The 27,878-nt window shown below is 43.7% G+C and overlaps 1 long non-coding RNA gene across 1 annotated transcript in view, besides 2 other annotated features; it reads left to right on the top strand.

The window, feature by feature from the left end:
- The window catches only part of LOC124907779 (uncharacterized), a 38,010-nt gene extending 25,899 nt beyond the window's left edge, over positions 1–12,111 (top strand). Inside the window, exon 2 of the long non-coding RNA XR_007086461.1 lies at positions 11,890–12,111. This is a non-coding gene — a long non-coding RNA (uncharacterized LOC124907779). The remainder of the gene's footprint in view (positions 1–11,889) is intronic.
- Positions 23,300–23,500: a silencer, noted in NCBI's record as "peak3732 fragment used in MPRA reporter construct". NCBI's record gives its function as "represses an SCP1 promoter by STARR-seq MPRAs in K562 erythroleukemia cells {active_cell/tissue: K562}" and the evidence as "EXISTENCE:reporter gene assay evidence [ECO:0000049][PMID:32103011]".
- Positions 23,878–24,414: an enhancer, noted in NCBI's record as "H3K27ac-H3K4me1 hESC enhancer chr2:65404421-65404957 (GRCh37/hg19 assembly coordinates)". NCBI's record gives its function as "activates a minimal SCP1, AML or CMV promoter by ChIP-STARR-seq in primed H9 embryonic stem cells {active_cell/tissue: H9 hESC(primed)}" and the evidence as "EXISTENCE:reporter gene assay evidence [ECO:0000049][PMID:30033119]".

Here is a 27,878-nt window from a genome sequence, read left to right as displayed (position 1 = left end):
TTTTTCTCATTTCAATTTGATTTATTTCTGCTCTGATGTTAACTATTTCTTTTCATCTACTAATTTTGGGTTTTGTTTGCTCTTGCATTTCTACTTCTTTAAGATGCATTGTTAGGTTATTTGAAGTTTTTCTACTTTTTTGATGTAGGCACTTATTGCTGTAGGCTTTCCTTTTAGTACTGCTTTTGCTGTATCCCATAGATTTTGGTATCTTGTGTTTCTATTTTCATTTGTTTTAATAACTTTTTAAATTTCTTTATTAATTTCTTCATTGACTCACTGGTCATTCAGGAGCATATTATTTAATTTCCATGTGTTTGTATAGTTTCCAAAATTCCTCTTGTTATTGATTTCTAGTTTTATTCCATTGTTGTCAGAGAAGATACTTGATATTATTTTCAATTTTTTTAATGCTTTAAGACTTGTTTTGTAGCCTAACATACAGTCTATCCTTGAGAATGATCCATATGCTGAGCAGAAGAATATGTAATCTGTAGCTGTTGGATGAAATGTTCTATGCCTATCTATTGGGTCCATTTGGTTGATAGTGCAGATTATATCCAATATTTTTTGTTGATTTTCTGTCTGGATAATCTGTCCAGTGCTGAAAGTGGAGTGTTGAAGTCTCCAGCTATTAATGTATTGGGGTATATCTTTCTCTTTAGCTCTTGTAATAGTTGCTTTATAAACCTGGGTGCTCCAGTGTTGGGTGCATATATATATATACAATTGTTATATCCTCTTGCTGAACTGACTCCTTTATTATTACATAGTGACCTTCTTTGTCTCTTTTTATAGTTTTTGTCTTGAAATCTACTTTGTATAATACAAGTATAGCTACTCCTACTCTTTTTTGGTTTAACCTTTTCAAGCTCACTAATTTGTTCTACTTGATTTATCCTGCTGTTGAGAGACTCTGATGCATCCTTCATTAGGTCAATTGCATTTTTCAACACCACAATTTCTGCTTGATTCTTTTAAGTTATTTCTATCTTTTGTTTAATTTATCTGATAGGATTCTGAATTCCTTCTCTGTGTTATCTTGTATTTTGTTGAGCTTCCTCAAAACAGCCATTTTGAATTCTCTATCTGAAAGGTCACATATCTCTATCTCTCTGGAATTGGTCACTGGTGCCTTAGTAAGTTCATTTGGTGAGGTCTTGTTTTCCTGGATCATTGTGATGCTTGTGGATATTTGTCAGTGTCTAGGCATTGAAGTTAGGTGTTTATTGTAAGCAGTCTGGGCTTATTTGTACCCACCCTTTTTGGGAAGGCTTTTCAGGTATTCAAAAAGACTTGGATGTTGTGATCTATGTCTTTGGTCACTGTAGCCATGTCTTCTTTAGGGGACACCCAAGCCCAGTAACATTGTGAATCCTGTAGACCTATAGAAGTACCTCCTTGATGATCTAGGTAAGATCCAGGAGAATTCTCTGGATTACGAGGTAGAGACTCTTGCTCCCTTCCCTTTTTTCCCCTAAACAGAGTCTCTCTCTCTCTCTCTGTGCTGAGCTGCCTGGAGCTGGGGGAAGGGTGACATAAGCACCCCTGTGGCCACCACCACTGGGACTGTGCTGGGTTAAACCCGAAGTCAGCACAGTACTGAGTCATTCCCAAGGCCTGCAGTGACCACTGCCTGGCTACTGCCTATGTTCACTCAAGGACCAAAGGCTCTACAATCAGCAGCTGGCAAATCCAGCCAGGCTTGTCCTTTCCTTCAGGGCAGCAAGCTCCCCCCAACCCCAGGTGGGTCCGGAGATGCCATCCAGGAGCCAAAGCCTAGAGTTGGGAACCTGAGGAATCTATCTGGTACTGTATTCTACTGTGGCTGCGTTGGCACCAAAGCCACAAGACAAAGTCCTTCCCATTCTTCTTTTCCCTTTCCTGAAGCAGGGGAGTCTCTCCCTATGGCCAAAACTGCCTCAAACCCACAGTAAATACTGCCTGGCTACCCCTGATGTTCATTCAAGTCCCAAGGCGTCTTCAATAAGCTTTTGATGAATGCTGCCAGGCCCGAGTCTCTCCCATCAGGGCAGTGGGTTCCCCTCTGGCCCAGGGCAGGTCCATAAATGCTGTCCAGGGGCCAACACCTGGAACTGGGGACCCCAAGAGCCCACTTGTTGCTCTACCCCACCATGGCTGAGCTGGTACCCAAGCTGCACGACAAAGTCCCCTTTACTGTTTTCTTTCCTTTCCTCAAGCAGAAGGGGACTCTCCCTGTAGCCACCACAGCTAGGAATGTGTTGGGTCACACCTGAAGCTAGCATGGCTCTGAGTTTCACCCATGGCTCATGACAAGTACTGTCTGGCTACCACTGCTAATTATTCAGGGCCCAAGGACCGTTTAGTCAGCAAGTGATTAATTCTACCAGGGATGGGCCCTTCTCTTCAAGGTAGTGGGTTCCCTTCTGGCCAAGGGTGTGTCTACAAATGTTGTCTAGGAAATAGGGCCTGGAATGGGGACCTCAGGACTCCACCTGGTGCCCTGTCCTGCTATGTCTGAGCTGGTACCCAAGTTGCAAGACAAAGTCCTCTTTACTCTCCCCTCTCCTCAAGCAGAGGGAAGGAGTGTCTCCTGGAGCTGCCAGCTGTGCTCCCTGAGGTTGGGGGAAAGGCGATGCAAGCACATTATTGGCTGCCCCAGCTGGTGTCTCACTATGTCACATGCATCCCAAGTCCACTGGCTCTAAGCCCAGCACAGCACCAAGACTTGCCCAGGAATTGCAGTCCTTGTGGCCTAGATTTCCTTTCAATTATATTTAGAACCCCAGAGCACTTTAGCCGATGGTGGTGGGCCTTGCCAGAACTCAGGTGCTGACTGCTGGGTTGGACTATTTTCCTCTGGCTAGGACTGGCCTAAATGCTTCCTCTATGGGTGGCTGCTAGGTTCTGCCCCATGTAGCTTTCTACTGTGACAGGACAGCACTGAGTTCCAACAAAGTCTCACAATCACTGCAATCTCCCTCCCCCAAGGGCACAGAGTCTCCCTCTGCACTATATGGCTGCTGCTGGGGGATGAGAGATGGGTGTTATAGGTGATTCAAGACTGTCTTTCTTACTTTCTTCGGTATATCTTTTCTTAATGTAATATTAAAGCCAGGTACTGTGATTGCTCACCTGATTTTTGGTTCTTATGATGGTGCTTTTTTGTGTGGATAATTGTTCAATTTGGTGTTCCTGTGAGGGGACAATTGCTGGAGGTGTCTCTTCGGCCATCTTGCTTTATCTCCTCCTAGTCCTCACTCTTATTGTCCAGATTTGGGCCACATGCTCATCATTGGACCAATCTGTAGCCAAGGGGTTGGGAGTTGCTTATTGATTTAGGGAGCATCCCGAGCCTCAAACCACAAGGATTGAGAAGAGAAGAGGGGTGGCTCTCTGAGGGCATTCTGGCATGCTGTTTTCCCAGAAAAATGGTGAATGGATGCTGAGAAGTAAAACCAACAGCTGTCCACTACATACTAATTCTTTATAAACAGTGTTATGCATGTTTATCCTGCAGTAGCCATTACCTTATAATTATTGCTGACTTATTTAGTATTACTTTGAGTAACACTTTTTATCTAGTAACATATGCTATAAAAAACTGTAGTATTTTAAAATGCCTTACTAATACTCAGAAGTTGAGAACCACTGTCCAACGGGTTGGTTTGATATATTTGTTGTTACAGTTGATCTCCCATCTATGTCTTACCATCCCCACCCACACCTTTTAATATTGTCTACAAATGTCTATAACAATATTTAATCTATTTTTCAAGATTATTCAAATTACTGTCAGCTGTTCCATGATCATGTCTGCAAAGTTTTATTACAAGACGTTGCAGTTTATCTTGACATTTGAATTCTGCCATGATAAGCTTCAATTTCATCTTTAAAATATACATTTTACTGGCCGGGCGTGGTGGCCCACGCCTGTAATCCCAGCACTTTGGGAGGCCGAGGTGGGCAGATCATGAGGTCAGGAGATCAAGAACATCCTGGCTAACATGGTGAAACCCCGTCTCTACTAAAAATGGAAAAAATTAGCCAGGCGTGGTGGTGGGCGCCTGTAGTCCCAGGTACTCGGGAGGCTGAGGCAGGAGAATGGCATGAACCCAGGAGGCGGAGCTTGCAGTGAGCTGAGATGGCACCACCGCACTCCAGCCTGGGCGACAGAGCGAGACTCTGTCTCAAAAAATACATATATATGTGTATACATTTTACCAACATCTATTCACTCATTGCTTATAATGTAGCAGCCACAAGACTTGGGGGGCATATGGATGGATCCCCATCTCTGGCTCCAAGAGATGTCTCTGGTTTAATTCAATCAGGGTAATTCCATCTCCCTTGCAACAGTCATGTTTAGGTAATCTAAATATAAACAGGAGTTTTGAGACAGAGTCTCGCTCTTCACTCCCAGCTGGTGTACGGTGGCATAATCATAGCTCACTGCAGCCTCAAACTCCTGGGCTCAAGTGATCCTCCCACCTCAGCCTCCTGAGTAGCTGGAACTACAGGCACATGCCACCATACCCGGCTAATTTTTTGTTTTTTTAATTTTTAGTAGAGGCAGTGTCTCACTATGTAACCCAGGCTGGTCTCAAATTCCTGAGCTCAAACAATCCTCAGCCTCCCAAAAGTGCTGGGATTACAGGAGTGAGCCACTGGCCTGGCCTCATTTTCATTCCTCATCCAGATGGTATTTTGTCCCTACTTTCATTGAATTTACAGTGTAGTTTAGAGATAAGATATAAAAATAAGAAAAATAAAGTAATTTCCCCAGAGCATCCCCTCTGAAGCTTTCTCACCCTCCTTGCCCTGCTCCCTTATGCTACCTTCTCTGCTCCCATGGCAATTTAGGTGGTGATCATGGAAGAAACCTCCAATATCGACAGGAGACTGTAGTTTCAACTCAATTTTAATACCAATACATTTGAGCATGCATTGTTAGTTCTGTCTTTAGAAGTTCATGCTGTTGTGTGTGTGTGCATGTGTGTGTGTGTGTGTGTCTATATAGCTATATTTTTGTTAGTCATTTTAGTATTGTGGATCAAAAGATCATAATGATTTATTTTTATTAGCAAAGTTGGAAGTTTTTATAGATAAAACTTTAAGAAATAATGGGTCGGGCGCACTGGCTCACGCATGTAATCCCAGCAGTTTGGGAGGCCGAGGCGGGTGGATCACCTGAGGTCAGGCGTTTGAGACCAGCCTGACCAACATGGTGAAACCCTGTGTCTACTAAAAATACAAAAATTAGCCATGCATGGTGGCACATGCCTGTAATACAAGCTACTTGGGAGACTGAGGCAGGAGAATTGCTTGAACCCAGGAGGCGGAGCTTGCAGTGAGCCGAAATTGTGCCATTGCACTCCAGCCTGGGCAACAAGAGCAAAACTCCTTTCCCCCCAGCCCCCCCAAAAAAAGAAATAATGAAGAATGTGTGCAAAGATTTAGCTGCTAAAGATTGCTCTTAAAAGTGTTTTCAGAAAAATTTTATAGATGTTTATTAATGTTTTATAGCAACATTGCAATAAGCATCTTTAGTAGTGAAATCTTTGTGTACATAAGTATTTCCTTAGGATATAAATTCCCAGAAGCAGAATTTTTTTATGTACACATTTTTAAGGGCTTTGCTCTCTGCGATAAGCACCTTAACTTTCTAACTAATTTTCTTGCCTCTGGCTTCCCTCCGTCTCCATTCTGAATGTCTTATGCTGGTAAATTTATCTCCCTAAAACACTGTGTTCATCATTTCACATACTTGCTGAAAATCCTTCCTTACTCCTTCCTTGCTGGAGCCCAGTTCCTTGCCCTGACATCTGAGGACTCTCACAATCTGCCTCTGCCGTGGATTTCTAGTCTTCCCTGGCACCACTCCCCTACATGAACCTTCCATTATAACTAAATTCATCTACTCCCTCTCCTCCCTTACGCCATGCAATTTCCCATCTTTACAATTTTGTTGAATTTATTACTCCTGTAATAAAGGGGGTGGGGATCATATAATAAAGGAAATGTTAGGATTAGAAATGAGTAATATCGCAACCATCTATGAACCTTTTCCCCATCTGCTTTTCTCCACCTCAGCCCAAACTATGGAGTTGTCCTAACCTCAGTGCTAAAAATATCAAAGTGTTTTCTGCTGATACTCCCTCCCTTCCCATTCAGCCCCTGACCCTCCCTGGGCTGAGGCCTATGCCACCTTTCCACCATTTTTACCTTTTTCCCTCTCTCCTGAGGTGGCTAGGTTCAACTTCTTTTGCTCAGGACTATCTCTACCAGATTCTTTGCTCCTCTGTTCCCTGTTTGTAGCCTTCTGTGTTACTTTTTGCTCATTGTTTCGAATCTTCCTTGTTTCTGCTGTCATTCTCTTCTCTCTCTTTTGGTATGCTTTCTTGTTTTGTTATGTTTCCCATATCTCAGCTTGGAGCCTCTTAGTTCTTGTGCAGAGAAAAAAGGCTTCACAGTGCCAAGAGCACGCCTTTCTGTCATTTTCAATAACTACTTTCTCAGTGTCCATTAATCAGAACATGCTTTTCCATCCTTCTAGGCTCATGTTGTCATTGCTTTCCTTCTTTTCCGTTCCTTCCGTAAATATTTTACAGCTGTTCCTGATACTTGAATGCCCTGATCTCAAAATAACAAAGACCTAAGCCTCAGTGAAGGAATTTTAATCAGTTGGGATGAGCTGAGAAGATAATGTAAAATAACTACAAAAGGTTTAGAGAGAGTAAAATATATTATTTGCTTAATAAGGTTTTTCTAGCATCAGTTTTGGTTTCTACAGCACATCACTTAAAGAAGCATGAAAGTGATATATATGGGATTGAGGAAAAAATAAATATAGCATACATAAATTCTCAAGTGTTATTAGAGTAAGAGGAACTGATATAAATAAGCTTAAAGTTAAAAGGCTTACATAAAGTACAACCAAATTGTTAACAACTCTGAAATTGTGACAGTTGCTAATGATAAAGGGAGAGTTCAGAAATAAAAACACGTAATTTGGTTAGAGAATTTAGATCTAATCAAAGAAGACATATATATATATATAATTCTCAGACAGCACAGACAAATAGATTTTTAAAAACAGTTTCCTTAACTTCATTTGGCTGTCTGGGGTTGTTATTCCCATTAAGAAACCAATTCAAAGATAAAATAAGAGATAAAAGTTAGACTTTTTAATACATTATAGGTTTTTCTGAGAGTAGAGTCAAATGATGAAGCCCTATTTTGTTTTTTCTTAGCAAATAGAATTATTTTTTATATTATGTCAATTTGTAGTAATTTGAATTTAGACATTATATACAATAAAATAATTATTTTCATTTGTTTCTATGTCCTTTGTTCATGGAATCCTGTTTGAAATGAAAAGGATTTTGAAATCAATATAGCATAAGACATACAAAGACATAAAAATGTGATTTGGTAAGAGTAAAAGGAGAGAGAGAAAATGATCAAGTAGAAAAATACCATTATCAATATTTTTAATATTCTCACTGTTCAAACATCTTACAGGATTAACTAATAATTTTTCAAAGCTTCTCATTGTCTTTTAGGTAAAGTTACCTGCAAGCACTATTTTCTTTGGTATTTTGAATTATTTTATCAATTTCCTTTTGGAAATTTGTAACTCATTTACTTCTGTTTTTTAAAAATAGCTTTATTGGCTCATGCCTGTAATCCCAGCATTTTGGGAGGCCAAGGTGGGCAGATCACATGAGGTCAAGAGCTCCAGACTAGCCTGGCCAACATGGTGAAACCCCATCTTTACTCAAAAAAAAAAAAAAAATTAGCTGGGCATGGTGGCAGGTGCCTGTAGTCCCAGCTGCTCGGGAGGCTGAAGCAGGAGAATCACTTGAACCCAGGAGGCGGGGGTTGCAGTGAGCCGAGATTGCACCACTGCACTTCAGCCCGAGTGACAAAGCACGACTCCGACCAAAAAAAAAAGTTATTAAGATATAATTTGCATATCATGCAACTCACCCATTTAAAGTATACAATTCGATGACTTTTAGTATGTTCACAGAGTTGTGCAACCATCACCACAATCTATTTTAGAATATTTTATTACCCCCAAATGAAACCACATACCCCTTAGCCATCACCCCTAACTCCCCCATCCCCTGAGACCTAGGCAACTACTAATATACTTTCTGTCTCTTTAGATTTGCCTGTCCTGGACATTTTTTTTTTTTTTTTTGAGATGGAGTTTTGCTCTTGTTGCCCGGGCTGGACTGCAATGGTACGATCTTGGCTCACTGCAATCTCTGCCTCCCAGGTTCAAGCGATTCTCCTATCTTAGCCTCCCGAGTAGCTGGGAATATAGGCAAATGCCACCACGCCCAGCTAATTTCTGTATCTTTAGTAGAGATGGCATCTCATCATATCGATCAGGCTGGTCTCGAACTCCTGACCTCAGGTGATCCTCCCGCCTTGGCCTCCCAAAGTACTGGGATTACAGGCATGAGCCACTGCTCCTGGCCCTGTCTTGGACATTTTATATAAATGGAATAATATACTATATGGCTCCTTTTCTGACTGGCTTCTTTCACTTAGTGTAGTGTTTTTAAAGTTCATCCATGTTGTGGTATGTATCAGTACTTCCTGTCTTTTTATTGCTGAATAATATTCTATTGTATGAGTATACCATATTTTATTTATCCATTCATCAGTTGATGGACATTTGGGTCATTTCCACTTTTTTGCTGTTATAAATAATGCTGCTGTACAAGTTTTCATATGGACATATGCTTTTATTTCTCATTTCTCTTATATATATCTCTAGTAGTAGAATTGCTGGATCACATGATAACTCCATGTATAACTTTTTCAGGAACTGCCAGACGATTTTCCAAAGTGGCTACACTTTATACACCAGCAGTGTAGAAGGGCTCCAATTTTTCCACATCCTTGTCAACACTTGTTATTATCTATTTTTTTATTATAGCTATCCTAGTAAGTGTGAAGTGGCATCTCATTGTGGTTTTCATTTACATTTACCTGATATACATTACCTAATAGCTAATGGTATTGAACATCTTTTCATGTGTCTTCTAGCCATTTGTGTGTTTTATTGAGAGAACTGTCCATTCAGAGTCTTTGCCTATTTTTAATTAGGTTATTTGTCTTATTATTATTATTATTCTTGTTATTTGAGACAGGGTCTCACTCTGTTGCCCAGGCGGGAGTGCAATGGTGCAATCTCAGCCCACCACAGCCTTGACATCCCAGGCTCAGGCAGTTCTCCCACCTCAGCCTCCCGAGTAGCTGGGACTACAGGTGCATGCCACTGTGCCTAGCTAATTTTATTTTTTGTAGAGGTGAGGTCTCACTATGTTGCACAGGCTGCACTCAAGCAATCTTCCCACCTTGACCTCCCAAAGTGCTGAGATTACAGGCGTGAGCCACTGTGCCTGGTCTTGTCTTTTTATTAAGTTTTAATAGTTTGTTATATATCCTAGGTAAAAGTCCCATTATCTATTTTATTTTTTGTTGCTCATGCTTTAGACATCATGTTTAAGAAACCGTAATAGTTTCACAGTTTAGCTCTTATATTTAGGTCTTTGATCCATTTTGAGTTAATTTTTGTATATTGTTTTTTGTAAGAGTCCAACCTCATTCTTTCGTGTGTGACTATCCAGATGTCCAAGCACCATTTGCTGAGAAGACTATTCTTTCCCTGTTGAATTGTCTTAGCTCCTATGTCAAAAATCAACTGACCATAAATGTAATAGTTTATTTCTGGACTCCTAATTATATTCAATTGACCTCTCTATCTATCTTTATTCCAGTCCATATTGTATTAATTACTGTAGCTTTGTAGTACATTTTGAAATCAGGAAAGGTGGGTCCTCCCATTTTATTATTCATTTTCAAGATTGTTTTGGCTATTCTGAGTCCCTCGAATCTCTGTATGAATTTTAGGATCAGTTTGTCAATTTCTGCAAAGAAACAAACTAGAATTTTAATAGAGATTGAGTTAAAACTATAGATCAATTTGAGGAGGATAGATCTCTTAACAATATTAAGGCTTCTGATTGATGGCTATGGGATATCTTTCCATCCATTAAATGTTCTTTAATTTTTTTGAACAATGTCTTGTGGTTTTCAGAGTTGTGGTCTTACACTTCTTTTGTTAAATTTGTTCCTAGATAACAGTTTGTTTTCATTTGTAGATTCGGAATTGTGAATTTGCCTATTTGCTAAAATTTATTTGCAACCCCAAAATCAATACTTGCAGCAATTTTACAGTCATTTGGGGACATGCACAGAACAATGAAAAGTTTGAGTGACCTGACACCTGACTGAAGTCAACTGCCTTTTTTTTTTTTTTTTCCTGTCACCCAGGCTTTAGAGTGCAGTGGTGCCATCATAGCTCACTGTAACCTTCTGGGCTCAAGCGATTCTCCTGCCTCAGCCTGCAGAGTAGCTAGGACTACAGGCACATGCCACCACACTTGACTAATTTTTTATTACTTTGTAGAGACAATTCTCACTCTGTCACCCAACAACCCAACCCAAGTGTTGAGGTCTGAGACAAAGTTTGTTGCTTATTTCCCTCTCCTTCCCCTAAGTGGAGGGTATACCTGGCCACACTATGCTGACTGAGGTTGAGGCAGGGGTGATGTGGATCATGCAAAACTGTCCTTCCTACCCTCCTCAATATGTCTTTTCTTATTTCTTTTTCTTTTTTCTTTTTTTTTTTTTTTTGAGACAGAGTCTCACTCTGTCGCCCAGGCTGGAGTGCAGTGGCGCCATCTTGGTTCACTGCAACCTCTGCCTCCCAGGTTCACGCCATCCTTCTGCCTCAGCCTCCTGAGTAGCTGGGACTACAGGTGCCCACCACCATGCCCAGCTAATTTTTTGTATTTTTAGTAGAGATGGGGTTTCACCATGTTAGCCAGGATGGTCTCGATCTCCTGACCTCGTGATCCACCTGCCTCTGCCTCCCAAAGTGCTGGGATTACAGGAGTCTTTTCTTATTTCTGCACTACATTCGGGTGCTGTAATCTCTCACCTGGTATCCTTAGTGCTTGTGAAGGTATTTTCATGCATGGACAGTTGTTCAAATTGATGTTTCTGTGGGAAGCAAGTGTTGGAATGGCCCATTTTGCCAACTTACTGATGTCTAGACCCTGTCTTCTTCTAGGAAGAAAGATGTTTGAGCAGGCAAGAGGAACAGATGCACAGGTCACCATCCAGAAGCCCACATGCATGCAATCCCAACAATTTCTTTGTATTGAATTATGTGGGATGTGAATTAGTAGCAACCATAATCACTTCACTTCAGTGAGTTATTAGTTACCTCCTTGGGTTTGGCTCTTTATTTTGAAGATTTAGCCTTTAGTGGCACATGTGTGTACTACAGAGGGACAGAGCATTTCTTTGTAAACTTAGAAAACCTACGAACATCGGGAAATATTTTCAAATTCAAGGGAAAAAACTTAAGTAAACCAATAGATTAAAGAAAATGAGGACGGGTACAGTGCCTCACTCCTGTGGCTCAATCCCAACACTTTGGGAGGCTGAGGTGGGCAGATCACTTGAGTCCAGGAGTTCAACACCAGCCTGGGCAAACACGGCAAAACCCCATCTCCTCAAAAAATTAACCAGGCATTGATGGCCCATGCCTGTAGTCCCGGCTACTGGGGAGGCTGAGGCAGGAGGATTGCTTGAGCTCAGGAGGTTGAAGCTGCAGTGAGCTGAGATCATGCCACTGCACTGCAGCCTAGGTGACAGAATAAGATTCCTGTCTCAATAAATAAATAAATAAGGAAATCAGAAAATCTACAAGCTGTACTAATGCTTAGTTCCTGAATGTTGGCCAACAATGAATAATTCAGGACATCCAAAATACAGTAAACACCAAAAACTTACTCGACCACTCTCCCATTTCAGAACATGAAGCATACTGAAGTAGAGACGGCAGGATTTTCTCATGCATGGAATATGGGATGTGAATGAAAACAGAAGGATCACTTGATGGCTGCGGACCTGAGCAACTGGAGGGATGGAGTTGCAATTAGGTGAAGTGAGGAATTCAGCAGGGGAAGCAAGTTTTGGGGCAGAAGATTTTATCAGGGATATTTTAGTAATTAAATAGTTAGATTAGTGTCTTAATCACAACTCCACATCCTTACCTGATTTGGAGCTTCTGTCAGTCTCCCAGCTCTGAGCTGCTTCAGGCTGGGAAGCCGACAGTCGGGGAGAAGTCATGGATAGCTTCTGGTCCTCTTTTCCCACTGTGGCTGTCCTCCTCTTCCCCGGCCCTCACTATGTTGTCTCCAGCTCCTCTTCTGGGACAGGAAGGGACAGAAAGATCTTACTGACAGGTACCCCATGAAGGTACCCCCTAGGGGATGGAGATCCCAGGGCTTCCCCTCCTTGAGTCCCTCAGAGATTCCTGGTAATGCCTCTCATCTGACTGCCATTTTGACCGCTCCCTGTCATCTTTCAGGCCACCTCTCTTTTGGGATCCCATGGTCTTTCTAGGGAAGGATCCAAGAGGGACCCAGGATCCACATTTGGTCCATAAGAACCACCCGTACTTTGCCCTGTCCTCAGAGGGCGTGTAGTCCACATCTAACACAGCCCTCTCTACTCTGCCACCTCTGGCCACTTTGGCCTGGAGAATGTTTTCAGAACTCATCTCTGTACTACACAAACTCTAAGGACCTCAAGTCAGATTCTCCAAGGAGTTCTCTTGAGGTCCTTTCTGTTGCCTACTTAAAGTGACCTGGCAACTAACCAAACATATGTGTGTGTGTATATGTGTGCATGTGTGTGTATGTGTGTATATAGACATACATATCTGTACACATATGTATGTGTGTATACATATACATACACAATACATATATACATATACACACACATACAATTAACAGAAGACATATGGATGGATGGCCATAGGAGCATAATAGTCATAATCTGGAAACAATCCAAATTTTAATCAGTAATAGAAATGGATAAATAGTGGGCCTGGCACAGTGGCTCACATCTGTAACCCTAGCACTTTGGGAGGCTGAGCTGGGAGAATTGCTTGAGCCCAGAAGTTTAAGACCAGCCTGGGCAACATGGCAAAACCCCATCTCTAGCCAAAAAAACCCACAAAAATTAGCCAGTTGTGATGGTGCACACTTGTAGTCTCAGCTACTACTTGGGAGGCTTAGGTGGGAGGATTGCTTGAGGCTGGTAGGTGGAGGTTGCAGTGAGCTGAGATCCCACCACTGCCCTCCAGCCTGGGTGACACAGCAAGACCTCGTCTCAAAAAAAAAAAAAAAAAAGAATGGATAAATAATGGTAGCATATTTTTTAATGCAATTTTTTAAAAAAGAATGAACTACTACCACAATGTGGGTAAATTTCACAGGCATATGTTAAGTCAAAGAAACAAAATACAGGCAGGGCATAGTGGCTCACGCCTGTAATCCCAGCACTTTGGGAGGCTGAGGCGGGCGGATCACAAGGTCAGGAGATCAGGACCATCCTGGCTAACACGGTGAAACCCCATCTCTACTAAAAATACAAAAAATTAGCTGGGCATGGTGGCATGCGCCTGTAATCCCAGCTACTTGGGAGGCTGAGGCAGGAGAATCACTTGAACCCGGGAGGTGCAGGTTGTAGTCAGCTGAGATTGCGCCACTGCACTCCAGCCTGGGCGACAGAGCGAGACTCCATCTCAAAAAAAAAAAAAAAAAAAAAAAAGAAAAAGAAAAGAAACAAAATACAAAAGAATGCATACAGTTTGATTCCATTTATATGACTTTCAACAACAGGCAAAACTAATCTATGCTGTTAGAAGTCAAGATAGTAGGGTAAGTAGTGAGTGGACAAGAGGGAGGTTTTGGGGAGATCTACTGGAATATGCTCTAACTTAATCTGGGTGATGATTACATTTGTTACGTAATGGGCTTATACATTTCTACAGTTTCATCTAGCTCTACAGTTGAGATGTGTGCATTTTATTACATATATGTTTACTAAGAAAGTGAAAAGACAATTCACGGAGAAATTTTTCTCCCTATTATTCATACATTGCATTTTCATCATTTGATAACATGAGTTGGGGATTATTTACAAAGAATGCTTTAGTTGTGAGGACATTCTAAGCCTAAAACTGGCAGAGACATTTCAAAAATGAAAATGTTATGTCTAAGGAAAAACAGCCCTCTTCCTTTGCTGCCTGTGACCGCTGTTACCACACTTCTCAGGTTCTCCTAAGCGAGCAGCGTGGCTTCCTGGGCTTCTACCAGAATTTACCAGCAGGGGTCAGCCCTGTACAAAACCCAGGCGCTTGAGCCTCCCGTGAATTGGAACTTGCTCTCTGGTTCTGTCAAGCCATTCTGGCCTTTTAGCTTTCTCACTTCACATTCCCAGCTACACTTCCTTCTGCTCTGTTACCACCACCCACTCCCGTGATCACAACATGGACCAGAAACTTCACAGCCTTCCTCACTCATTCAAACACGCTCTCCTCTCCTTCCGTGCTCTCAAGTAACCCCCGCAGCAACAGTCCTTTCAGCTTAGCAAGCTCTTCAGTCCAAGCCCTGCTGCTTTCTCTCCATCCTGCAGTCCCCTCCTCTCTTCACTCTCCCCTTTTCAACCCAGACATCACGGGTCATCAATGAAATCACTTTTGCAAACACCTCCAACTCTTTGACCATTCTAGGCCTCAGCTCCTAACCCCTTAGGATTTTCTGGCCGGGCGCGGTGGCTCACGTCTGTAATCCCAGCACTTTGGGAGGCCGAGGTGGGCGGATCATTTGAGGTCAGGGGTTCCAGACCAGCCTGGCCAACATGGTGAACCCCGTCTCTGCTAAAAATACAAAAATTAGCTGGGTGCGGTGGTGGGCGCCTGCAATCCCAGCTACTTGGGAGACAGGGGAATCGCTTGAACCCAGGAGGCAGACGTTGCAGTGAGCCGAGATTGCGCCACTGCAGCACTGCCGCTTGGGCAACAAGAGTAGAAAAAAAAAAAAGTTAAAAAAAAAAAAAGGATTTTCTGTTGCACTTGGGATAAAGTACAAAGCCCAATACAGAGCCCCCAAGGCCCTGAGTGACCCAACCTTGGGCTGGTATCTCTCCCACCATGACTCATGCACAGCACTCCCCTCTCCATGTTTTCCACTCTTCCCTCTCCCAGTGGAGAAAAAGTCATTTCCTCCAAGTCCACTCTCTCATTCTCTTTCCTAACAAGGGGTTTATTTCCTTCAAGACACAATATAAAACTTTATCATATTTGTATAATTGCGTATTTAATGTTTGTCTTCCGCTTGGGGCTGTGCACTCAACAGAAGCAGTGCCAAGCACTTGCTAGGTTCATAGAAGACACTTAAGTGTTTGTTGGCCAGGCGTGGGGGCTCACGCCTATAATCCCAGCACTTTGGGAGGCTGAGGCGGGCAGGTAGCTTGACCCCAGGAGTTTGAGACCAGCCTGAGCAACATGGCGAAACACCGCCTCTACAAATAATTGAAAAAATTAGCCGGGTGCGGCCAGGCGCGGCGGCTCACGCCTGTAATTCCAGCACGTGGGAGGCCGAGGCGGGTGGATCACAGGGTCAGGAGTTTGAGACCAGCCTGGCCAACATGGTGAAACCCCATCTCTACTAAAAATACAAAAATTAGCCGGGCGTGGTGGCACTCGTCTGTAGTCCCAGCTCCTCAGGAGGCTGAGAAGGGAGAATCGCTTAAACCTAGGAGGTGGAGGTTGCAGTGAGCAGAGATCATGCCACTGCACTCCAGCCAGGGCGACAGAGCCTCCAGAGCGAGACTCCGTCTCAAAAAAAAAAAAAATTATCCGGGTGCTACTCGGGAAGCTACTGTAACCCCCAGCTACTCAGGAAGCTGAGGTGGGAAGATCTCTGGAGCCTGGGCTGTTGAGGCTGCAGTGAGCTGAGATTGCGCCACTGCATTCCAGCCAGCCTGGGTGACAGACTGAGACCCTGTCTCAAAAAAAAAAAAAAAAAAAAAAAAAAAAAAGAAGAAAGAAAGAAAGAAAGAAGGAAATGTTTGTTGAATTAGAATGTCAATCTAGACCTTGACCCCACCAAGACAGAAGACAGGTGTAGTGCCCTCTGTTATTTAGAAAAATAATCGTAGTAGCACTTTACATTTGTATAGTATTTGTCTTTTCAAAGTACTTTAACATCTATTATCATAATAATAAAGATAGGTAAAAATAGGTTGCATACAATAGGTAAGTGCTATTTTCCCATTTGACAGGTTAAAAAAAAAATGAGTCACGAAGAAAGTTGGCTAAAATATCAGAGTAAGGACTAAAGCCAAAATCTCTAACCTACCCATTTGTACATCTTAATTAGTAAGTAAATATTCTGTCTTATGATCAAACTTGCAGTTGAGATAATAGCTTAATAGGTAAGTGTTCAGCCCTAGAGACATAATGTTCAGTTTCCAAACCCAGCTCCAGTACTTAACTTGCTGTGTGACCTGGCACAAGTTACCTAACTTCCCTGAGCTTCAGTTTCTCCATGCTTAAAGTGTGAATAATAATGCCTATCTGAGGTGGTTGTAGTGAGGTTATAAAGAGTATATTGCTAGGAGTGGTGGCTCATGCCTGTAATCCCAGCACTTTGGGAGCCCAAGGTGGGCGGATCACCTGAGGTCCCGTGTTCAAGACCAACCTGACCAACATGGAGAAACCTCGTTTCTACTAAAAATACAAAATTAGCCAGGTGCGGTGGCTCATGCCTGTAATCCCAGTACTTTGGGAGGCCGAGGCAGGCGGATCACCTGAGGTCAGGAGTTCGAGACCAGCCTGACCAACATGGAGAAACCCCATCTCTACTAAAAATACAAAATTAGCCGGGCGTAGTGATGCATGCCTGTAATCCCAGCTACTCAGGAGGCTGAGGCAGGAGAATAGCTTGAACCTGGGAGGCGGAGGTTGCGGTGAGCCGAGATCGCACTATTGCACTCCAGCCTGGGCAACAACAGCAAAACTCCATCTCAAAAAAAAAAAAATTAAGTAAATAAATAAAAATAATAAAAAATAAAAATACAAGATTAGCTGGGTGTGGTGGCGCATGCCTGTAATCCCAGCTACTCGAGAGGCTGAGGCAAGAGAATCACTTGAACCCGGGAGGCAGAGGTGGCAGTGAGCCAAGATGGCACCATTGCACTCCAGCCTGGGCAACAACAGCAAAACTCCATCTAAAAAAAAAAAAAAATGCTGTAATATTTTTCTCTCCTGCAATTATTAATATAAATATATAAGAATAATGACCCTTAATGAAACTTGTGAAGCAGATAAATCCATATTTAAATGGAGGTTTCCCTGGAAAGCTAACACAAATGATTAATAGGTTGCAATCTGTTAGAACAGACTAAAATGCTTTGTTTATTTACAATGAGGCCTCTTTCTCTATCTTTGTTATAATCTATTAACAGTTATTGCATGGCTACCTGAGGTGATGAATCTGCAGGAAAAATCTGTTAAAAGTACAATAAAAGCATTCTTCCCTATTCTAGTACTTTATAGAATTCAATAAACTATTAACAGCATAGGACAGAATGGTCTGTATCCTAATTAATGTTCAAGGATGCAAAGTAATGAGGTCCAGCCTTCCAGTTTTCATTTAAAAAACTACAAAGTTTTCTCTCATACCCATAGTCGACTTTTCAGAAGTGTTTGATTCCTTCCTTTTATTTAATTTTCAAAATAATGAGTTGGTTTTCTAGCATTCTCCAAAAATGACCAATGAGATTTTTAAAGTAGAATTTTGGACTTAATATTTACACCTTTTTTTTTTATACTTTAAGTTTTAGGGTAATGTGCACAATGTGCAGGCTAGTTACATATGTATACATGTGCCATGCTGGTGTGCTGCACCCATTAACTCGTCATGTAGCATTAGGTATATCTCCTAATGCTATCCCTCTCCCCTCCCCCCGCCCCACAACAGTCCCCAGAGTGTGATGTTCCCCTTCCTGTGTCCAGGCGTTCTCATTGTTCAATTCCCACCTATGAGTGAGAATATGCGGTGTTTGGTTTTTTGTTCCTGCGATAGTTTACTGAGAATGATGATTTCCAGTTTCATCCATGTCCCTACAAAGGACATGAACTCATCATTTTTTATGGCTGCATAGTATTCCATGGAATATTTACACCTATTTAATGTGTTTTCATTAATTACAGCTATTATTCTTATTGATGCTTAAAATGTCCCAACTCTGACTAGTGAGAATGTCTTCAAATTTCTCTAAGTCATGTTGACAGGACCCTGATGGCTTCCTTGCTTTCTAGTAGAATAAGATGGTCCAGAGTTCATCTTGCATGTTTCCTATTTCAGACTTGCAGTTAGCCATTTCTCCAAGAAGTTTGGTTCCTGTTAGTAAGCAACTTTATTTAGAAACTACAATCTAGTTGTTAAATGTGTTAATTGTTACTGAGTTCATAATTATTTGTAGGATTTTTCAGCAAACTACTTTTAACAAAAATTCTAATCTATCCATTCAATGTATGTTGTATCTCATTCTAGCACTTCACTTAGAATGCCTTGTTTTCCCCAAGTTCCTTGTGACTACTTGTATGGTCTTAACACTCATCTTCCTACCTGGATTTATAGAAAGTGCCCTTTCCTTCTCTTGCACACAGTGCAAACTGTCAGTAGATCTACCATTCTGGGGTCTGGAGGATGGTGACCCTCTTCTCACAGCTGCACTAGTTAGTGCCCCAGTAGGGACTCTGTGTGGGGGCTCCAACCCCACATTCCCCTTCTGCACTGCCCTAGCAGAGGTTCTCCATGAGGACCCGCCCAACATGATGAAGCAAATGTCTGTGTGGGCATCCAGCTGTTCTCCTTACATCCTCTGAAATCTAGGCAGAGCTTCCCAAACCTCAATTCTTGACTTCTGTGTGCCCACGGCCTCAACACCACATGGAATCAGCCAAGGCTCGGGGCTTCCACCCTCTGAAGCAACAGCCTGAACTGGACCTTGGCCCCTTTTAGTCACAGCTGGAGTGGCTGGGACGCAGGGCACCAAGTCCCTAGGCTGCACACAGCATGGGGACCCTGGGCCTGGCCCACAAAACCATCTTTTCTTCCTAAACCTCTGGGCCTGTGATGAGAGGGGCTGCCACGAAGGTCTCTGACAGGTCTTGGAGACATTCTCTCCATTGTCTTCATGATTAACATTTGGCACCTCAATACTTAGGCAAATTTCTGCAGCAGGCTTGAATTTCTCTTCAGAAAATGGGATTCTCTTTTTCCTTTCTTTTTTTTTTTTGAGACGGAATTTCACTCTTGTTGCCCAGGCTGGAGTACAATGGTGCCATCTCGGCTCACTGCAATCTCCGCCTCCCAGGTTCAAGCGATTCTCCTGCCTCAGCATCCCGAGTAACTGGGATTACAGGCATGTGTCACCATGCCCGGCTAATTTTTATTTTTAGTAGAGATGGGATTTCTCCATGTTGGTCAGGCTGGTCTCGTCCTCCCGACTTCAGGTGATCCACTCACTTTAGCCTCCCAAAATGCTGGGATTACAGGTGTGAGCCACCACGCCCAGCTGGGATTCTCTTTTCTATTGCATTGTCAGGCTGCAAATTTTCCAAACTTCTTTGCTCTGGTTACCTTGTAAAATGGAATGCCTTTAACAGCACCCACTTCACCTCTTGAATGCTTTGCTGCTTAGAAATTTCTTCCGCCAGATACATTAAATCATCTCTCTCAAGTTTAAAGTTCCACAAATCTCTAGGGCAGGGGCAAAATGCTGCCAGTCTCTTTGCTAAAACACAACAAGAGTCACCTTTGCTCCACTTCCCAACAAGTTCCTCATCTCCATCTGAGACCACCTCAGCCTGGACCTTATTGTTCATATCATTATCAGCATTTTTGTCAAAGCCATTAAATAAATCTCTAGGAGGTTCCAAACTTTCCCACATTATCCTGTCTTCTTCTGAGCCCTCCAAACCGTTCCAACCTCTGCCTTTTATCCAATTCCAAAGTCACTTCCACATTTTTGGGTATCTTTTCAGCAATGCCCCACTCTACTGGCACCAAAGTATTGTATTAGTTTGTTTTCACACTGCTGAAAAAGACATATGCGAAACTGGGAACAAAAAAAGGTTTAATGGGGCCTGGCACGGTGGCTCATGCCTGTAATCCCAGCACTTTGGGAGGCCGAGGTGGGTGGATCACGAGGTCAGGAGTTCAAGATCAGCCTGGCCAACATGGTGAAACCCCATCTCTACTAAAAATACAAAAATTAGCCAGGCATGGTGATGCGTGCCTATAGTCCTAGCTACTCAGGAGGCTGAGGCAGGAGAATTGCTTGAACCCAGGAGGCAGAGGTTGCAGTGAGCCGAGATTGTGCCACAGCACTCCAGCCTGGGCGACAGAGCAAGACTTCGTCTTGGAAAAAAAAAAAAAAGGTTGAATTGGACTTCCAGTTCCATGTGGCTGGGGAGGCCTCAGAATCATGGCAGGAGGTGAAAGGCACTTCTTATGTCATGGCAGCAAGAGAAAATTAAGATAAAGCAAAAGTGGAAACCCTGATAAACCCATCAGATCTCGTGAGACTTGTTCACTATCACAAGAATAGCACAGGAAAGACCGGCCCCCATGATTCAATTACCTCGCCCTGGGTCCGTCCCACAACACGTGGGAATGCTGGGAGATAGAATTCAAGTTGAGATATGAATAGGGACACAGCCAAACCATATCACTCCAGTTCCCAACAAGTTCTTCATCTCTGTGTGAGACCACCTCAGCCCAAATTTCATTGTTCATATCATTATCAGCATTTTGGTCAAAGCCATTCAACAAGTCTCTAGGGAGTTCCAAACTTTCCCACATTTTCCTGTCCTCTTCTGAGTCCTCTCAACTGTTCCCACCTTTTCCTGCTACCTAGTTCCAAACTCACTTCCACATTTTTGGTATCTTTTCAGCAGCACCCCACTCTGCGGGCACCAATTTGCTGTATTAGTTGGTTTTCATGCTGCTGATAAAGACATACAAAAAAAGAGGTTTATTGGACTTACAGTTCCACGTGGCTGCAGAACCCTCACAATCATGGCAAAAGGTGAAAGGCATGTCTCACGTGGTGGCAGACAAGAGAAGACAGCTTGTTCAGGGAAACTCCCGTTTTTTATATAATCATCAGATCTCATGAGACTTATTCACTATCATGAGAACAGCACGGGAAAGACCTGCCCCAATGATTCAATTACCTCCTACAGGGTTCCTCCCACAATAGTAGGAATTCAAGATGAGATTTGGGTGGAGACACAACCAAACCATATCACATAGTTCTTAAGATAATGGGCTTTGGAATCAGATTGCCTCGATTTTCATCTAGAATATGGGAAATTAAATTGATGCAATGGTAACTTTCAAGCATTCTCCCAGGCATGCTATCCTAGGCTAGATCATAGTACAGAATGGCTCACACACCAAATAAAGATGCTTGAATCACTTTAAAACATACGAGTAGGCTGGGCATGGTGGCTCATGCCTGTAATCCGGCACTTTGGGAGGCCAACGTGGGCAGATCACCTGAGGACAGGAGTTTGAGACCAGCCTGGCAGGTCTCTACTAAAAATACAAAAAAATTAGTTGGACATGGTGGTGTGCATCTGTAATCCCAGCTACTCTGGAGGCTGAGGCAAAAGAATCGCTTCAACCTAGGGGTGGAGGTTGCAGTGAGCTGAGATTGTGCCACTGCACTCCAGCCTGGGTGACAGAGTGGGACTCCGTCTCAAAACAACAACAACAAACAAACAAACAAACAAAAATACAACTAGAAGCAAGAGGGTAAGAGATGGGGAAGGCTGACACATTTAGGAATGGATCCCAGGGTGGTGGAGGACCACACTACCTGAATGTCCTCTCTCTCTCTCTCTCTCCTCCCACCCCCAACATTAGTCTTCCCTGCCGAACGGTTTGATTACAAAGACCAAAGCTGAGACTGAACAAGGGTGCTCTCAGCAGGTGGAAGGTGCCTGAAGCAAACATACTCCTACTTTTTCTGGGAGAGAAGTAGGGACAAGCACTTCTGACACAAAAGTGTAGTTTACCAATTAGCCTGCTGAACAGCTGTGGATTTTGTCTGCATCTCTTGAATTGAGCAAAATGGGTGCCTGATTTTGGAGATAATATTAAAGTATGATAAAAATATGGTGTTATATTTAGAAAAAATGGTATTTATCTTATAGCAAGACATGCAAAAATATGTATGGATAAAGTGAAACAGGTGGGGATGTAAATGAAAGTAGATTGACCATGAGTTGATAATTGTTAAAGCTGGGTGTGGGCCCAGGCTGCAATGAGCTGTGATTTTGCCACTGCACTCCAGTCTGAGCAATAGAGTGAGACCCTGTCTCTAAAAAAAAAAAAAAAAAAAAAGGCTGGGTTGTGGGTAAATGGGGACACATTACATCATTCTCTCAATTTATGTCTATGTATGACTTTTTCAGATAAAAAGCCTTTTTTTCTTTTTTTTTTTTTTTTTTTAACAAACAGGGTCTCACTCTATCCCCAGACTGGAGTACAGTGGTATGATCATAGCTCACTGCAGCCTTGGACTTCTATGCTCAAGCAATCCTCCCACCTCAGCTTCCCAAGTAGCTGGGACTATAGGCATGCATCACCACACCCAGATAATTAAAAAAAAACTTTTATAGAGACGGGGGTCTCACTGTCTCCACACTCTGGTCTGGAACTCCTGATCTCAAGCAATCCTCTCCCCTTGGCCTTCTAAAGCACTGAGATTACAGGTGTGAGCCACCTTTTTTCATAATAAAAAACTTTTAAAAATGAACTTGTGTCTACACACACAAAATCTTGTTTATTTGACAAATAAATGGCATGAAAAATAGGAAGAAGGAACCATTGTAAATTAAAAGAGAATTCAAGAGATATGGGTTTGAAACAATGCAGGAGAGCTTGACTTCCTCATGTTCTTCGTATATTTTAGCTCTTGAGGTTTGTAGAGCAGTTGCCTTATATTTCTGTTTGTTGGTTTTATTTTTTATTTTATTTTATTTTTTGAAATGGAGCCTCACTCTGTCACCCAGGCCGGAGTGCAGTGGCGTGATCTTGGCTCACTGCAACCTCTGCCTCCTGGGTTCAAGCGATTCTCCCACCTCAGCCACCCCAGTAGCATGAGCCACCAAGCCCAGCTAGTTTTTGCATTTTAGTAGAGATGGGGTTTCACCATGTTGGCCAGGTTGATCTTGAACTCCCGACCTCAAGTGATCTGCCTGCCTTGACCTCTGCCTCCCAAAGTGCTGGGGTTACAGGCATGAGCCACCATGCCCAGCCTGTTTCTTGGTTTTAAATCCACATTAGCAGTTCAGAAGGTGGTATACAGAGTGTGCTCTTCAGAAGTGGCCCTCTCAAGAATTTTTCAGTGCTCCATGAGCTGAGCAGGATAAGAGCTCAGCAGGATAAGGGAGAGGGATAGGGAGTAGGAAGTAGGACTGCAGGGTTACAGAGGACACCACCACATTCACCACTACAGATTAATGGTTTCGTGGGCAAATACACTTTGAAAAGTTGTGGTTGAACCAGCTCAAGCTGCATTCTTAATGGCCAGACTTCTTAAAACATTAAGTAACTATAATAATGATGGCAGTGGTAGCCTGTCTGGAGTGGCTGCTGCCATGACACCAAGGGAGGTGCCGACAGGGCTGCACGCCGCTTGGAGCTAGGGAACCAAGAACAGATGGGAGCCCTGCCCCGTTTTTGTTGGAAGGGTGGGAGCCCTGCCCTCCGGGGCACAGCTGCAGCTGCCCAGTCGCAGATGTGGAATCCAGTATCCCTGAACTCTCAGCGACCAGGAAGGCCCCCTGCCCCCCACAGTCTTGGGTGTGCCTGCTCCCACTGCCTGGCCTCTCCCCACTCCTGGTGCCTGCTCCAACTTCAGAGCAAAGGTGAGGCCAAGCCCAGATGCTGTCACAACCTAGCCAGGTGTGCACATGCTCAGGACAGCACTGACACACCTGCTGCCTCAGCCCCCTTCAGACTGTGGGCGCCTAATGAGCATGGGAGGGAGGCTGAGTGGGGGCCGAAGGCAGCTTGATGTGGGCCTGCAGGTGCTCTTTGGCATGAACAGCCTGGGTGCCATGGGCACCATGGATGGCAGAGTGATGGCAGCAGGAGGCAGACAGGCTCCTGGGCAGAAAAAGGCAGGTACCAGTGAAGCCCCACCTTCAAGCCAGGAATGGCCTGAAGCCTGGTGGCCATGCTATCAGTTCCGTTGACTGGAGTGAGAACTTATGGGTTTTTTTGGGGCCTGCCCATGGGCACCCATGGACCAATCAGCATGCATTTCCTCCCCTCTGAAGCCCATAGAAACCCCCAGACTCGGCCAGGCGTGGTGGCTCATGCCTGTAATCCTAGCACTTTGGGAGGCCGAGGGGGGTGGATCACAAGGTCAGGATATCGAGATCATCCTGGCTAAAACGGTGAAACCCCGTCTCTACTAAAAATACAAAAAATTAGCCGGGCGTGGTGGTGGGCGCCTGTAGTCCCAGCTACTCGGGAGGCTTAGGCAGGAGAATAGCGTGGACCTGGGAGGCGGAGCTTGCAGTGAGCCAAGATCACGCCACTGCACTCCAGCCTGGGCGACAGAGCAAGACTCTGTCTCCAAAAAAAGAAAAACCCCGGACTCAGCCAGACACAGACAGACTGCTGGACAACCTGCCTGCAGAGAGGAGATACCCACTGTGGGTGTCCTCTCCACTGAGAGCTGGACACTTGACAGGACAACTTGCCTGTGGAAAGGAGCTACCCACTTTGGTCTTGAATTCCTGGCCTCAAGTGATCCTCCCATCTCAGCCTCCCAAAGTGCTGGGATAACAGGCATGAGCCACCATGCCTGGCCAGGAGCTACCCAATTTGGGTCTCCTGAGAACTGTTCTGCTGCTCAATGAAGCTCCTCTCCACCTTGCTCACCCTGCAGTTGTCTGCATACCTCGTTCTTCCTGGATGCAGGACAAGAACTCAGGACCCACTGAATGGCAGGACTAAAAGAGCTGTAGCAGGCTGGGTGCAGAGACTCACTCCTGTAATCCCAGCACTTTGGAAGGCCTACATGGGTGGATCACTTGAGGTCAGGAGTTCAAGACCAGCCTGGCCAACATGGTGAGACCCTGTTTCCACTAAAAATACAAAAATTAGTCAGGCATGGTGGCGTGCGCCTGTAATCTCAGCTAATTGGGAGGGTGAGGCACGAGAATCGCTTGAACCCAGGAGGCGGAGGTTGCAGTGAGCTGAGATTGCGCCACTGCACTCTATCTGGGTGACAGAGTGAGACTCCATCTCAAAACAAAAAAAACCTGTAATAGAAACAGGGCTGAAACATGAATCCCCTGACACACACACACACACACACACACACACACACACTCGCCACATTGCGCAACGAGAAGAAGAGCTGCAGCCTTCTGGGGAGCCCAGACCTAGGGGCGCCCCGAGCCAGGACTGCGACCCCCTCTTTGGGGTTCTACGGTTCCTGCTGCCTCCAGGCTTCCAGGTGCCACTGCATTCCCCTTGTCCAGGTACGGGTGCCTGCAGCAGAAGCTGCGTGCAGTATATCTGGTTCAGTCACAGCCTTGCACGGGGCCTGTGCTGGCACCTGGAGCTGCTTGCCCTGCTGCAGCAGCCAGCACGCCTGGCTGTGCACAGTGGGTGGACCCCGCGCTTGCTCACCTACACAATCCTCGCAGCTCTGCGCCTGGTTTGCGTTTAGCAGGTATGGGATCCTGGCTGGTAGCGTGAGCTGAGTACAGCCTGCCGGACAGAGTGGGCAGAACGAGCCCAGTGGGTGCAAGCAATACTCAGGCAGAAGGTGCTGCTGACCACAGAGGTTTCTGGCTGGTAAAGCAACACCTTAAGGAACCTGTGACACTAATATACATGGTGATTCTCCCAGAGATGAAATTTAGAATGAAGTCATTCTGAAATGTATCTGACTATAGACTCCTTTTTCAAAGAGCATCTCCAGAAATTTTCATCTGAGCCGGGCGCGGTGGCTCACGCCTGTAATCCCAGCACTTTGGGAGGCCGAGACGCACGGATCACCTGAGGTCGGGAGTTCGAGACCAGCCTGACCAACATGGAGAAACCACATTTCTACTAAAAATGCAAAATTAGCCGGGTGTGGTGGCACATGCCTGTGATCCCAGCTACTCGGGAGGCTGAGGCAGGAGAATCACTTGAACCCAGGAGGTGGAGGTTGCAGTGAGCCGAGATTGCGCCATTGCACTCCAGTCTGGGCAACAAGAGCAAAACTCCATCTCAAAAAAAAAAAAGAAATTTTCATCTGAGCCATTTATTTGCTGTGAGAACTTATATGATTAGCCTCTTTAAGCCTCAGTTTCTTTATTTAGAAAATGGAGATAATAATCCTACCCCATTGCTATTGTGGAGGATTAAGTTAGAAATTGGATAACAAGTTTATGGTCCCCAGCACGAACTCATTAAAGCTATAACTATTATTAGTAATACATTCTATCCAATTTAAATACAAAGCATTGTGTGTGTGTGTGTGTGTGTGTGTGTGTGTATGTATTTAGAGAGAGAGGCTCACTCTGTCACGCAGGCTGGAGTGCGTGATCATAGCTCACTGCAGCCTAAAACTTCTGGGCTCAAATGATCCTCCTGCCTCAGCCTCCCGAAGTGCTGGGATCATAGGTGTTAGCCACTAGGCCCAGCCCTAATTATCATTTTAATTCCTCATATTTTACTTTGTTGATGTACCATAGTTTACTAAGCTATTCTAATGTCAGATACTTAGTTTGTTTTCCACTTTTTAAAATATATCATAGTCAGTGCTGTAAGGAAAAACTATACTGTTGCTTTTTTTTTACTTTACTTTAAATATTGTCTTTAGGATAAATGTTTAGAAGTCAAATTACAATAAAATAGTATGAGCTTCATTCAGTGTTTGCTATATATAGTCTCATTGTTTCTAAAAGAATTGTATCATGCACATTTTTTACGGGATATGATATTATGCAGTAGTTCCTAATCTATTTCAAAATGTTTATCTAAACTCCTTTAAAAATGCTGTTAAGGCTGGGCGCAGTGGCTCACGCCTGTAATTCCAACACTTTGGGAGGCTGAGGCGGGTGGATCACCTGAGGTCTAGAGCTCAAGACCAGCCTGGCCAACATGGTGAAACCCCATCTCTACTAAAAGTACAAAAAATTAGCCCAGCATGGTGACGGCCACCTGTAATCCCACCTACTTGGGAGGCTGAGGCTGGAGAATTGCTTGAACCCAGGGGATGGAGGTTGCAGTGAGCGGAGATCGCGCCATTGCACTCCAGCCTGGGCAACAAGAGTGAAACTCTGTCTCAAAAAAAAAAAAAAAATGCTGTTAATATTCATACATCTAAAAATAGTCCTTGAACAGCAAATAATGTAGCAGTAACAATCAACAGAAATTCTTCTCATTTACCTAAAGAGTTTAAAAATAATTTTAGGCCAGGAGCAGTGAGTCATGCCTGTAATCCCAGCACTTTGAGGGGCCAAGGCGGGTGAATCACCTGAGGTCAGGAGTTCTTGACCAGCCTGACCAACATGGTGAAACTCTGTCTCTACTAAAAATACAAAATTAGCTGGGCATGGTGGTGCACATCTGTAACCCCAGGTACTTGGGAGGCTGAGGCAGGAGAATCACTTGAACCTGGGATGCGGAGGTTGCGGTGAGCCGAGATTGCCCCACTGTACTCAAGCCTGGGCAACAGACCGAGACTCTGTCTCAAATAAATAAATAAATAAAAATAATTTAATAATATAATTAATAGATATATTAATTTAATAATATAATCTAAAATTTTCTTCTCTCTTTGAACCTCTTATTGGAAAAATTATCAATAGTCACTGACATAGCATATGGGCAGCATGAAGAAGGACATAA

Source organism: Homo sapiens, chromosome 2 (genome assembly GCF_000001405.40).
Source record: "Homo sapiens chromosome 2, GRCh38.p14 Primary Assembly".
Classification (NCBI taxonomy): Eukaryota; Metazoa; Chordata; class Mammalia; order Primates; family Hominidae; genus Homo; species Homo sapiens.
Note: the sequence above shows the minus strand (reverse complement) of the source record. Positions and strands in the feature narration are given on the sequence as shown.